The following is a 13,600-nucleotide window of genomic DNA, read 5'->3' on the forward strand; positions in this document are numbered from 1 at the left end:
CTCTGCCTCCTGGGTTCAAGCGATTCTCCTGCCTCAACCTCCTGAGTAGCTGGGATTACAGGCGCCCACCACCATGCCCAGATAATTTTTGTATTTTTAGTAGAGATGAGGTTTCACTGTGTTGGCCAGGTTGGTCTCGGACTTCTGACCTCAAGTGATGCGCTTACCTCAGCCTCCCAAAGTGCTGGGGTTGCAGGCGTGAGCCACCGTGCCCAGGCTCAGTTTGTTTGTAAAATAGAGAAAATATAAGTACGTTCCTCATGAGGATTAAGTGAGAAAGCATGTTTACTGTACTACAAACAGCAACCTGGCATTATAAGCTACCAATAAATGTCAGTTGTTGTCACTAACCTTTTCATTTAAGTCAGTTTTTTTTTCAGTTATATATGTACTGTAGCCTTGTTCTAAGCAATAATATCCACAAAATCATGGGCTTATTGTGACAATGATGGTTTTGATGATACACATATAACAAGATGTTAAATCAAAAAAATAAATAAAAAACAATAGGCCATGTGCGGTGGCTCACACCTGTAATCCCAGCACTTTGGGAGGCCGAGGTGGGTGGATCACGAGGTCAGGAGTTCAAGACCAGCCTGGCCAACTTGGTGAAACCCTGTCTCTACTAAAAATACAAAAATTATCTGGGCGTGGTGGCGGGTGCCCATAATCCCAGCTACTCGGGAGTCTGAGGCAGGAGAATCTCTTGAACTTGAGAGGCAGAGGTTGCAGGTGAGCTGAGATCTCACCATTGCACTCCAATCAGGGCAACAAGAGCGACACTCCGTCTCAAACAAAACAAAACAAAAACAAAAACAAAAACACAATAGAACACTTTAGATTCCTTTATTGTGCATTGCTGTGTTGCTTTTATGATTTCCCAAGTGCGTTTGGATATTTTTTAAAGTTTTAAAACATCCAGTCAAAGCAGCTATAGGAATTAATCAGCAAATTGACTCAAATGAGTAGCTGCATCACTTTCCAGATGAACACCAAGGTGCACCAAGATGCAACAGGTATAATGCTCGTAAGTGTGACACCAAAGAAGGATGCGCATTTTCAAAAGAGGTGCGCAAGGGCCCCTCTCTCAAGCTGAGGGTATAGAGGGTCAGAATGGGCAGAGACTGGGGAAAAATCTTTGTGGAGGAATTTTGGGGTTGCTGTTAGTGTGCTGTGATATCTCACCCTGTCCCCATAGAAAACTGGCCCTCCTGTCAAGCTGGTGAGAGGGGAATTCACCAGGACCACTCAGGAAACTTGATGTCTGTCCCCTGCAACTGGGAGGACATGGTGGACTGGCATCTGATCACCTCTTGAGACATCCAAAGGGTGGGACACACGTTGGCCATCTGCTGTTGGAGGAGCCAAGGGAGACTGCTGAGCTGGGGTCAGCCTGCCTTCCCAGGTTCACTGTGCCCAGGGATGTGTGATTGTTTCCTTGAACTAATGTGGGCCACATGCACTAATGTGGGCTGGCATGAGGTCAGAGCAGGTCTTCTCTGAGATGGTCTCTTGGGCAGACTGAAGGACCTTAGCTGAAAGAGGCTAGAGGTGAACCACTGGATTTCAGGGGCTGAGGAAGGAGCAATGATCTAGAATAGAGGATAATTTGCTCTTTTTTTTTTTTTTTAAACAGATTCTTGCTCTGTTGCCCAGGCTGGTATGCAGTGGTGCGATCTCAGCTCACTGCAACCTCTGCCTCCAGGGTTCAAGCAATTCTCCTGCATCAGCCTCCCTGGGATTACAGGCGCCCGCCACCATGCCTATCTAATTTTTGTATTTTTAGTAGCGACAGGGTTTCCACCATGTTGGCCAGGCTGGTCTCGAACTCCTGACCTTGGGTATCCGTCCATCTCAGCCTCCCAAAGTGTTGGGATTACAGGTGTGAGCCACCTCACCTGGCTGATAATTTGTTCTTTTCAAGACAATAGAAGTGAGACATCCCAGCAATTGGGAGGGTAAGGAGAGTTCTCTGAGAATCCGATAAAAATATGGACCAGGAAGCTGGAAGCCAGCAGAGTGTACCCAGTGAGCACTTTCCTGCCCCTCCCAGTCCAGTGACAAAGGAGTGGATGTATTTTTATTTTATTTTATTTTTTAGTTTTTTCCATGGGACTCTGCTTCATAAAGCGGGTGTATTTTGTACCTAGTTGAGACTATGCTTGTAAGACTTAAAGTGATCACAGAACCGTCTCCTATGAATAACCAGAAAAGTTACAGGGCCTAAGTTTTCACCCTAGACCAGGGAAAGAACTAATCCCACTGGATAAACATAAAGAGACAGTGGGAGGCAAAATTAAGTTGCTTGATGAGTACATTCCAATGAGTCATGTTTCTTTACACTCATTAGAAACATAGCTATTAAAATGAAATGTTTGTCCTTGTACCAAATGAAATCATCTCTCATCCCCCCAGTAGCATGGTACCCCCCATAAAAATAATGGGGATAGGGGAATAAGAGGTGAGGAAAATGTAAGACAGGTAGGGATGGAAAATATTGGTTTGGTGGGTTCAGTGGGAACTCATTTGCTCCTCAACCTTGAATATGATGAAATGAAAATAGAAGGAATGAAAGAATCCAAGGGTCCTTAGAAAATGGCTTTGTTTGGGCCAGGAGTGGTGGCTCATGCCTGTAATCCCAACACTTTGGGAGGCCAAGGCAGGCAGATCATGAAGTAAAGAGATCGAGACCATCCTGGCCAACGTGGTGAAACTCCATCTCTACTAAAAATACAAAACTTAGCTGGGGGTGGTGGCATGCACCTGTAGTCCCAGCTACTCAGGAGGCTGAGGCAGGAGAATGGCTTGAACACAGGAGGCAAAGGTTGCAGTGAGCTGAGATCGTGCCACTGCATTCCAGCCTGGCGACAGGGCCAGATTCCATCTAAAAACAAAAAAGGAAAGAAAGAAAAAGAAAAAGCCTTGTTCAAAGGGAACTGAAGATAGCCTAGCCATAGCCCAATTCCATGAACAAAGAAGACGTGGTCCCTGAGTTCCTGGGCTGAGTATATGGTTTAGCCTTGCCCTTTCAGGTAGTTAGGGCAACAGAGGGGGTTATACTCTCGCTAACACTGAGTTGCCCAGAAAGCACCAGCTAAATTAGCCAGGTGCTAATATAGGTGGTGCAACTACAGTCCTAGCTACTTGGGAGGCTGAAGTGGGAGGATTGCTTGAACCCAGGAGTTCAAGGCTACAGTGAGCTATGATTATGCCACTGCACTCCAGCCTGGGTGACAGAACAACATCCTGTCTCTAAAATAAACAAAAACAAAAACAAAAAAACATCAACCAGAGACCTCAAGTTCTGGAGACCCAAGTGGCAGAGGAGCAGGGATAGGGGGAAGAATCCTGGACTGAAGCAGACCCTGGAGTCCCCAGGGTCTCGGTCTTTTGTCCAAGCTGGAGTGCAGTGGTGTGGTCACAGCTCATTGCAGCCTCGACCTCCCAGGCTTAAGTGATCCTCCCACCTCAGCCTCCCAAGGAACTGGGAGTACAGACATGCGCCACCATGTCCAACTAATTTTGTGTAAAGACAAGGTCTCACTGTGTTGCCTAGGCTAGTCTTGAACTGGCAAGTGATTCTCCTGTTTCCATCTCCCAAAGTGCTAGGATTACAGGTGTGAGCCACCCTGCCTGGCTCAGTTTAAGTTTTAAGACAAGACATAAAGGTTGCTCCCCATGACATAGGAATGGTGAGTATAAGGGTGTACAGACACCACCTCTCAGCTGCCCCACTGAAGCGGTTAAAAGAGCAATGACTGGGCTGGGCATGTTGGCTCACGCCTGTAGTCCCAGCACTTTGGGAGGCTGAGGCCGGCAGTTCACCTGAGGTTGGGAGTTCCAGACCAGCCTGACCAACATGGAGAAACCCTGTCTCTACTAAAAATACAAAATTAGCCGGACGTGGGGGCGCATGCCTCTAATCCCAGCTACTCGGGAGGCTGAGGCAGGAGAATTGCTTGAACCCGGGAGGTGGAGTTTGCTGTGAGCCGAAGTCACATTGCACTCCAGCCTGGGCAGCAAGAGCTAAACTCCATCTCAAAAAAAAAAAAAAGAGCAATGACTGGTCCTAGTCCCCCTTCTTGAGAAGGGACTTCCTCCAGCTCTGACTTTGTTCCTTAGCTTCCAGTTTGACTTCTTTCTCCTTCAACACCATCTCTTCCCTCCCAACTCTGACTTCTGACAGTTCCAGACCAGCTGAGTTATTTCCTGAAAAAGGCTGGAACCTCAGCCTTTCTCAGGAAAGGCTGGATCATCTAGCATTATTACCTGAAGAGAGGTTAGAGAATATCTTGTCCAAATGATAAGAAAACTAAAAGCCAAAAAACTTGCATCACACGCCCAGAGTCACTGAGCTGTGAGGAGAACCCAAGTCTCCTGACCCCTTGCACACTGTTCCATCATACAGCCTCACGCTAGCTCTCCAAGAGGGGTCAGCTCACCTTCCTTGGACCACCACCTTAACCCTCATTCCTCTTCCATGAATACTTCAAAATGGTGGAAGAGGCCAGGTGTAGTTCTGCACCTGTAGTCCCAGCTACTTGGAAGGCTGAGGCTAGAGGATCCCTTGAGCCCAGGAGATAGAGGGATAGAGGCTTCATTGAGCTGGGATTGTGCCACTGCACTCCAGCCTGGGTGACAGAGCAAAACCTTGTCTCAAAAAAAAAAAAAAAAAACAGAAGACAATTAACTTGCTTGGAACAAACAAGAATGGATCCCAATCTACTAGCTGGTCACCTTTGAATGGAGAAATCAGTGGCTATAAATATTTTCTCAGAAGAACAGAATAATCTCATGTTTGCTGTACTTTGCTCAGTGTAGCTGGGACCCCAGAGTCATAATCAGGTCTCCACAGCTGAATTATAATGATGGGCAGGGAAAGGCCCAGAAACTAGGTTGGAGGATGAGGATTGGGGTCAAGAATCTGCAAAGATAAGCTTCTATGACTAGTGGCAGTAGGACAACAGAAATAAAAATGTTGCCCAAACAGACCGTTAAGCAAGAGGAAAATTTTGGTTTCAAAATGAAATGGGGTTTATGAGATGTATTCCTATGCCAAGCAGAAAGCGTGTTCCCTTTACAGTAACTCCCAGGCCATCTGGTCTACTTCCCTACTGCAGGGTACAGACCTCTCCTTACTGAACATTCATTGAGATGATGTTTTTCAAACAAGAATCTGTACTTCTGTCTCCTTTTAACTAGTTGTGTTTAATCCACATCAACTCTCTCTTTTTTTTTTTGAGACGGAGTTTCACTCTTGTTGTCCAAGCTGGAGTGCAATGGCATGATCTCTGCTCACTGCAACCTCCACCTCCCAGGTTCAAGCGATTCTCCTGCCTCAGCCTCCCAAGTAGCTGGGACTACAGGCACGAGCCGCCATGCACAGCTAATTTTTGTGTTTTTAGTAGAGATGGGGTTTCACCATGTTGCTCAGGCTGGTCTTGAACTCCTGACCTCAGGTGATCCACCCACCTCGGCCTCCTAAAGTGCTGGGATTACAGGCATGAGCCACCGCACCTGGTCAATTCTCCTTTTTATGTGTTAACCTATACTGCCTCCACTTTTACCCTCTCCCCAACATTTGGTCTATTATCTGATCCAAGCTTATAAAACACAATAGATTCAGACTGGCTGGGAGATGTGGCTTATCCCTGTAATCCCAGCACTTTGGGAGGCTGAGGCAGGAGGATTGCTTGAGGCCAGGAGTTTGAGACCAGCCTGTGCAACATAGCGAGTTATAAAGACTCTGTCTCCATATAAACAATTTTAAAAGTAGCTAGGTATGGTGGCACATGCCTGTAGTCCTAGGGAGGCTGAGGCAGGAGGATCACTTGAACCCAGGAGTTCAAGGCTGCAGTGAGCTATGATTGTGCCACTGCACTAAAGCCTGAGCAACAGAGAGAGAACCCGTCTCTAAAAAAATTTTTTTATTAAAAAAAAAAAGAATCAGATAGATCTCAATTCAAATCCCAGTTTAGACACTTACTAGCTGTATGATATGGGTGATCACTTTATCTTGCAGAGCCTCAGTGTTTCCAGCTGTGAGATGGGGATAATTAATAGTAGCTATCTCATTGATATGAGAAAAGAACATATGTAAATGCTTAGCCTAATAAATGGTGATTGTCATTATTATTGCCATGATCACTGAAGCCAGCTGAAGCTCTATTTGTGGAATTAAGTCTCAGAGGGCTGAAATGGGCTGTCCAAGGTCACACAAGTGAGTGAGTCAGGGAGGGATCCCAGATTTCCTGATTCCTGAAGCCTTTGCCAACCATCAGCTCACACACAGACGAATCATTGCCCAATGACCTAGAAATCGGGGTATCTGATCACATCCAAGTACCACAGCTGGTGATTTAATAAGCACTCACCATGTGTTAGAAACTGTGCAGGCTATATGAAAGCTTTATAGCATCTATAGGTCAGTATAAGAAGGTCATCTCATTGCTTATGCCAAACTAAAAGAAAAAGAAAAAGAAAACAAGACAAAAATCTGGAACCGCTGCTTGTGTTGCCCAGTGGTAATGATATTTCTTGTCCATGTGTGTTTTAAGAAAGTAGATGAAAGTAAGACCAATGCTCTGGCTGCCTTATTCCTGGCTTTGAACAGGCCTTTTTGATTGGGAACAAGGGGAAGAGAGATACTAAGGACTTAGGGACTAAAATGGGGTTTGGCCAAGGACAGCAATGAAAAAGGAGATGGGGGTTGTCAGTGGGCTAAAAACAAGTCCCTGTCGGTGCTCTGAAGAATGGCAGTTATTGTCAGCAAGGTGGGCTTCTCGCTGCACCAGGGCCTGTCCCTCCACTGACTGTGCAAGCAATGAAACCATGGAGCCCCAGGAAGCACATTTTATCTTGAAGCATGAATCACCCCTCAGAAGTCTAGAAAAGAATCCTCTCTTTGTGGCCCTTCAATCTCCTTGGCTGGCATCCCTAGCTCCTCAGGGCTGATGTCAAGGCCTTACTAAAACTCAGGGTGAGTGACCTTTCCAATGGAAACGGATCATTCCAGAAGCTCATGTGACAGGGGTGCCTCTTAATAACTGAAAGGAAACAATGAATGAATGGGCCAGCTAGATGGCATTCGTCATTCAAGTCTAACTGCAAAAGCAGTCAGAAGTGGATAATCCAGTATGTTCTGAATGAGGGGCTTTTGGAAAGCAAAGGAATGGCAGAAAGTGATCTCTCCCCTCATCTTTTCATATTTATTAGCTCTCCCTACATTAATTGACAGCTGAAGTCTTATTTAAAAAAACAAAAAAACAAAAAAAACTGTCATGCTTCTAGAAGATGGAGCAGCCGGAAGGAGCAATCTGAGGACCCGAGACCTGTCCGTGTAGATGGTTTGCCCTCATTTCAAAGATGCTGTCTCTTCTATAATACCAGCCACACTGGGAGCCGAGAATCCCGAAAAAAATATTAAACTCCCTACTGGGAAGCCAGCAGAGTAAAGGATGGTGAAAAGCTGGATGTTCAAAAACATGAATTGTCAATGACTTTGGTTGTTCCTCAAATTGCCAGACTGGATTGTGATCCAAAGGTAAGTGGAAGCACCAAAATCAGAGGAGGGTGGAAAGTCGCCTTTCAGAACCATCCTTTGAAGGAGCAGGGGGCCAGCATCACTCTGTGACCTCCGCTCCACTACATTTATACATAGGGGAACTGATGTTAAAATGAGCATGAAGTATAGCCTCACAGGGGAGGAGAGCCGAAGGCCACACTGGGTATAAATGCAGCCTGATGAATGGGAAAACAGGGAAAGGAGCAAACCCTCTTTTCCATCTTGGAAATGTGATGGTTGACTTAGCCTCAGTTCTATCTGTGGATGTGTGTGTCGGGGTGAAAACCACTGCCTTTTCCTTGAATCACAGCAGCATGGGGCATCCCACAGCTCAAAGTCTGAGGCAAATATACGTCTTGAACCAAACACCCTGGTACTGATGTAAATTCTGGTACGTAAATTCTGAGTGCATCTTTATCTTATAGCAGAAAAGTATAACCTATGGATCTACTCGGGTACTTGATTTTAAATGCTCTTAAATCCCAGGAAAGGAAAATTTCCCCAACACATGCATTCTCACACACCACAGCCAGTGTGACAACTCTCAGTGGGACTCAGTTTCCCTAAGGGGAACCAAACCAAAAGTGCCCCCCTCCTACCCCTTCCCTAGAAATCAGCTTACACTTTACTTTTCAAATACAAAGCCTGATTTCTGAGAAGTGATGTAGAGTAAGAAGAAGATCTGGCCAATAGAGGCTGAAATTCCTCAGCTCAGAACATGAGAATCCTGTCTGATATTCCCTCCTTAGCCAGGTGTTGCCACAAAGGGAGCTAAGGCTTTGCCAGGTCAGAAATTATCCTTGCCTTAAAAGGAATGTTCCTGCAATTCAAAAATACACCCAGACCACCTTGTCTGTATATGGGAGGTAGGGAGATGGGGGAGGAGAAAAGTAAAAGCATACAAACTTGAAAACAGCCAGGCTCTGGGAGGGTTAGCTATCCCTTCCCTCCCCTCAAGGACAGCCAGATCTGATACAGTTGCCGATAAGACCAAGCTGCCTCACTCTACTGCCCTTACCCAGGTCTTTCCTTATGACATCAGAGTCCCCAACATCATCGGAGACCCTCCTCAGAAACTGGAAGGTGACAGTCACTAACATTCTAGCTGGAAACTGTACACCAGGAAAAAGCCCACCAGGAAGGAGCTCCAAGCCATCCTGGGAGGTAAGCAGAAAAAAAAGCTTGCTGCCTAAGTGCTGCAGCGAGAGCTTTTCTGATAAAAACTACACTTTTAAAACCAACACTGAGCTTTGCCTATCACAAAAGCTGTAATTTGGTCCCTTCCTGTAAAATGACACCTTTCCCTTTAGAAACAATATGTAAATCTGATACAACCGAAATAAACACAGTATAAGGCTCACTAACTCATTTAATATCTTTCATTCAAGGACTTGAGGGTCTTAAATCACTTTATAAATGTAAAAATTCATGCCTCATCACTTCAAAACAGGAAGTTAGGAGAGTATCAATTTCCCATCTTAAGGTCAGTACATTTGAGGAACATGCCACGGAAAAGCCCATCCTCTAACCACTGGAGGCTCGGAGGTCAGGCCTCCATATCATTATCCTCAGCTCCGAATAAATAGCTTGGGACAAACCAATAAAGCCGCTCCAGTGGGGAATTGAGTGAAATCAATCCTGCCTGCCTGTTAGAATGGGAAGGTCCATAGAAGTGGGCCTAGCTGTGCTTCTCTGGTGCAGTACCTGCATCTGACTTTAGCCACAAATTGCAGGGCCACAAATCTATAGCTCAGGGGACTCAGTTTTCTCCTGCTACTCCTTATTGGTCCTGGAACCTCCGTTGCTCCTGTACCTATAAGTGGCCAAAATCAACACTAAAAAAGCCTGTTGTCCCCACCCAACGCCTGCCATGCTGTGTCCCCAGTTGCCTGTATCTGTCTCCAAACACAAAGCCCCTGATGGGGGCTAAGTGTCATCTCAGCACACCCCTGAGCAAAGTGTCTCTAGAGCAAAGTGTCCTGACAGGCCCACCCTGGCCCAACCTACTTGTATCCTTGTATCATTAGGTCATTCACACAGGCAGGCGGGAGAGTCCTCCACCAGTCTAGGGCCCTCCAGTGCCTTCTGTCTCACAGGGAAGCAGATGTATCTGTCTTCCAAACAGGGAAAAAAATCTGAGCTCCCAAAGGGCTATCCTGCCACAGGATAGGAGCTGGTGGTCACATGTAAGCCAGCTCAGAACTGAAGGCACCTTGTTCCTGGAGACATAAGGCCAAGCACTGGGGACCTGGAACCTGGCCCATTTGTTTTCTAGAGAGAAAGACACTGTACCACCCCCAAGGCAGGTTGCTTGGCCCTCCCTTGATCCCTCTTCCTGGTACAGCAGAGAGAAACCCAGGCCTCTCAATTACCCAAGGCTGATAGCCACAGCAATAGCTCACTTATTACTAGGGTGCTGAGAACACATGAGAATTGGTGAGCAGAGCCCCCAAGGTTACACCAGCAGAAAGCTGCCTGGGGTCCTGCTCTTTCCCTCCAGGGAGAGCCTTGAGCAGTGCCCGAACACTCTGCCCTCCTATCTCCAAGCTCTGTACCTAAGGCAGCCAAACACCCCCAGGGAAACCCTGGGGAAAGAAAAGAGACAGTCCCCGGGAAGGAAGGGAAAGGGGTCCGTTTCTGACTGAGCATAGAAAGAGGGAAAGGAAGATACCTGGGAAAGAGGCCAATGTCTCCCTGCCCTTGCCAGGAACCGGGCTGTAACACTCCCCATCCCAGCCAGGCATCTCTCACGGAGGACCAGAGATCAGGGAGGGCAGGTGAAGAGCTGGCAGCCAGGGGGCTGGGCTGGGCCCCAGGACACGGACCTGGGGAGTGGAGGGCGCCTAGGTGTGGGGTCCATCACCCAGTTTTTCCATGCACCCTGGGGAGAAGGCGGCGGGGTCATTTTGGCAGCGTTCCCTTCCCTTCTGGAAAGTCCTCAGCCTCTAATTCAGGAGGGTCCTTGGTTTCCACTCCCAAGCCCTGGCTCCCCAGCTTCCACCCAGACTGTCACCCCCCTCCACCCTGCTGAGGTGGCCTCCTGGGTGCTCTCCGCCCGGAAGAAGAGGAGGTGTCAACCTACCGCTGCCCCTCGCTTCCCCCTGACACCCCTTTGTTTCAGGCAGGGAAAGTTGCCAACGCGCACCCCCTTCCCCAACACGCCCCCCTGTGCGCCCATCCCCCGCAGGGAATCCAAGCCCCGGGCGCACCACCTATCTAATCTGCGGCTGGATCTCGAACCGGGGCAGCAGCCTCGAAACCGAAAGCAAAGAGGAAGCGGGATCTGCTACAGCCCCAAGTCCGGTCGCCCAGTCTTCCCCTCACCGTCCCCATCGCCCGCGCCCTCCGCGGTCGGAGCTGCCGGCCCCTCGCGGCCACCTCTCTGGGCGGCGGAAAGGCCTCTCTGCGGGCATAGGGGGCACCTACCGGTGCGGGGCCGGGGCCGTGGGTAGGGGCTGGGCAGAGCCGGCCGCCTGCCAGGCGCAGGTGCGGCTAGGAGCGCCGTCTCCAGGGCTGGCTCCCGCTCCTCCTCCCGCGCCGGGACTCGGGGCGCTCTCCTGCACCGCCTGCTCCCCGCCCCCAAGCCCGGCGCTCTGGCTCCCCCCGCGCCGAGTTGCGGGCCGTGCCTCCCCCACGCCGCCTGGCACTCCCGCGCCGCGCCTAGTCCCGCATTGTGTGTCGGCGTCCGCCGCGGCGGCGCGGGGTCCGGGGGGCTGCAGCCGCCGCTGCCCGGGAGGAAAGGAGCCCCCGGCGGCGGCGGCGGCGGCGGCGGCGGCGGCACTCACCCATAGTACGGATGCGCTGCAAACTGCACATGCTCGCGTCTGACAGGCGCTCGCCCTGCCGCCCGGCTTAACTCCTTGCTCGCCCGCTCGCCGGCCCGGCCCGCTGTCCCCTCCGACCCCTCTGCCTCCCGCAGCCCGGGGTCGGCCCCGCCACGGGCGCCTAGGAGCACGCCCCCTGCCAGGGCCGCGGCGCAGGTGGCTGCGGTGCAGGGCTCTTCGGCCCTCCCTGTCCTAGCCAACCCGCCTGCATTTGAGTGTCTGTCAGGCCCGGAGCTTGTAGTTGTGGGGACCAGGCGTGCAACATCCACTGTGGGTACCATTGCAGGCCCGGGCTACCTGAGGGCCACAGACCACGTGGTGTGGCAGACCCACTATGTGCCAGCACTGTGGACCTGCGGTCAGTTCATGGAAACAGCCATGTAAGGTCATTTGTTTATCCCCATTTCCAAGATGGAGAAACTGAGGCCTATGGAAGTTAAGGAATTTGCCTAAGGCAAGGCTTGAACTTCTAAGGCTCACGATTTGCTTTATACCATAAAGGTTACAGAGAATATGTTATTTCAGAAGTCAATCTAGATTCTTTTATTGGGAGGTGGAAAATAATGAATATCATCTGGAAACTCTGGAAATTCCACAATACCGAACGTAGGAAATCGGCAGCTGAGGGCCCTGACTTGAGACAGGCCCCTTGGACTGGTCCTGGGTCCTGCAGAAAGGCTGAGCAGGGAGTGGGAATGACAGCCAGCCCCCATTCGCACGCCAAGCCTAGGTCCTGGCACTGGGTGCCTCAGCCAAGAGGAAAGGGCATTTTGAAAATTTATAACACCCTCTGGGGGTGTCCTTTTGTCACTAACCCATCCGGAGAGGGTACCCTTTCTAATTCTCTCGCAAACCCTATGCATGCCGAGGCCTGATCTGAGGGGTCTAATGGCCGCTTTTCAACCTAGCTGGAGAGGGGGGGAAATGAGGAGAGGGACAACAAGAGAGGCTGAAGCCCTTACCCCTTTTTGTAACATACCCCAGTGACAAACAGCTCTCAGAAGTCCAAGGCAGCACAGAATCTTCTAAGAAAAGGAACCTATGGTTCATCCAGCTGCTCTTGCCCCATTCTGGGCAAGAAGCTGAGCTGCTTTCCTCCTGTCTGAACCTAATACCTAACCCTAATCTGATCCTGTGTCTTCCCCTAATTGTCTGATGGGGCCGTAGGTCTTCCATCAACCTCCTGTCCCTGGCCAGAATATTCAAAGATCAACAAAGGTGCCTCTCAAAGCTGGGAGTAGGAAATATGGACAAGGAATTTCTAAGCCCATCCCCATGTATATCGTGTTCCTGGGCTGGTCAAGCCATTTTTCTCAGAAGGAAAGCAGTGGGTTCTGATTGGGGCAGAGGGAGTCATGTTGGGTTCCTCAAACTAGTACAGGAGGTAGACAGCCACGTGCTACCAGTGGCAGGAACTCTAGACTTCCCCCTGAGTTTGTTTCCTTTTCTGTAATTTGGAGATTTGCCTCATCATAAATATAGTATAATGACCCAAGGACATCATGCATATAATATTCTCAGCACACAGTAGGCTTTGGATAACAGGAAAACTTGTTTTTTTGCTGGAGATAGGTCAGGGAAAAGGGAGAGAGTCAGGGCTACAGGCAGGCATGTGGGCTGTCCTAGTACACTGTCAGAGACGCAGGAGACAGTGTCTCAGGGACACGCTGGCAAGAAGCAGCTAGTCTAGCAGCAAGGCCTACCTGATGAAAAGGGCCATCCCCTGTGCCCCCTTGCCACGAAGGCATAGTACGCCTAATCTCCTTCTCTAGCTGTGGCCGGCGGCTGGCAGCTGGCTCTCCCCCAGGCTCTGGGAGGCAGCATTGCGCAGAGGAAAGCACAATGGGCTGGAAAGGCTTCGGAAGATCTGAATTCCTGGCACCTTATGCATGAGGCACGGTAGGCGCCGGGCTCAGTGCTCACAATATTTTTAGGGACCCGCAAAAATGTATGAATTTCTTTTAAACTCAGAGGCAAAAAATAAACATTGAGGTCAAAGAAAAATGTTTTAATATATAATATTAATATTTTCATCCTTTAGCAGAGAAGCTCTATTGTAGAAGCCAAGATATCAGTTAGAGAATCAGAAAGAAGGGTTAAGATCTAAGGTGCAAGGCATGGCATCATCCAGCCTCTACTTTCTCCAGCTCTCCAGTGAACTTAACTCCATGACCTGGGTTTTCCTCATTCCTTACATTAGGGATCATTTCTT

The 13,600-nt window shown here is 49.2% G+C and overlaps 2 protein-coding genes across 8 annotated transcripts in view, besides 2 other annotated features; one reads left to right on the forward strand and one right to left on the reverse strand.

Annotated features, from left to right (window-relative positions):
- Positions 1-13,600, forward strand: part of GPHN (gephyrin) — a 1,227,209-nt gene that overhangs the window by 995,949 nt on the left and 217,660 nt on the right. The window lies entirely within an intron of this gene.
- TMEM229B (transmembrane protein 229B) overlaps positions 1-13,600 on the reverse strand; it is a 63,582-nt gene that overhangs the window by 33,827 nt on the left and 16,155 nt on the right. For 2 of the 7 annotated variants that reach the window (NM_001348548.2, NM_001348549.2), the window contains exon 1: positions 11,350-11,390. The exons of 2 other annotated variants lie outside the window; for them this stretch is intronic. The gene's annotated coding sequence lies outside the window, so the exon portion shown is untranslated. Of the gene's footprint in view, positions 1-10,235; positions 10,653-10,990; positions 11,121-11,349; positions 11,391-13,600 lie in introns of those variants that run through there. 3 more of the 7 variants (NM_182526.3, NM_001348544.2, XM_047431036.1) reach the window with 2 other exon arrangements.
- Positions 10,865-10,994: a silencer, noted in NCBI's record as "silent region_5856". NCBI's record gives its function as "represses an Ori minimal core promoter by ATAC-STARR-seq in GM12878 lymphoblastoid cells {active_cell/tissue: GM12878}" and the evidence as "EXISTENCE:reporter gene assay evidence [ECO:0000049][PMID:35858748]".
- Positions 11,325-11,614: a silencer, noted in NCBI's record as "silent region_5857". NCBI's record gives its function as "represses an Ori minimal core promoter by ATAC-STARR-seq in GM12878 lymphoblastoid cells {active_cell/tissue: GM12878}" and the evidence as "EXISTENCE:reporter gene assay evidence [ECO:0000049][PMID:35858748]".

Source organism: Homo sapiens, chromosome 14 (assembly GCF_000001405.40).
Source record: "Homo sapiens chromosome 14, GRCh38.p14 Primary Assembly".
NCBI classification, from domain to species: Eukaryota; Metazoa; Chordata; class Mammalia; order Primates; family Hominidae; genus Homo; species Homo sapiens.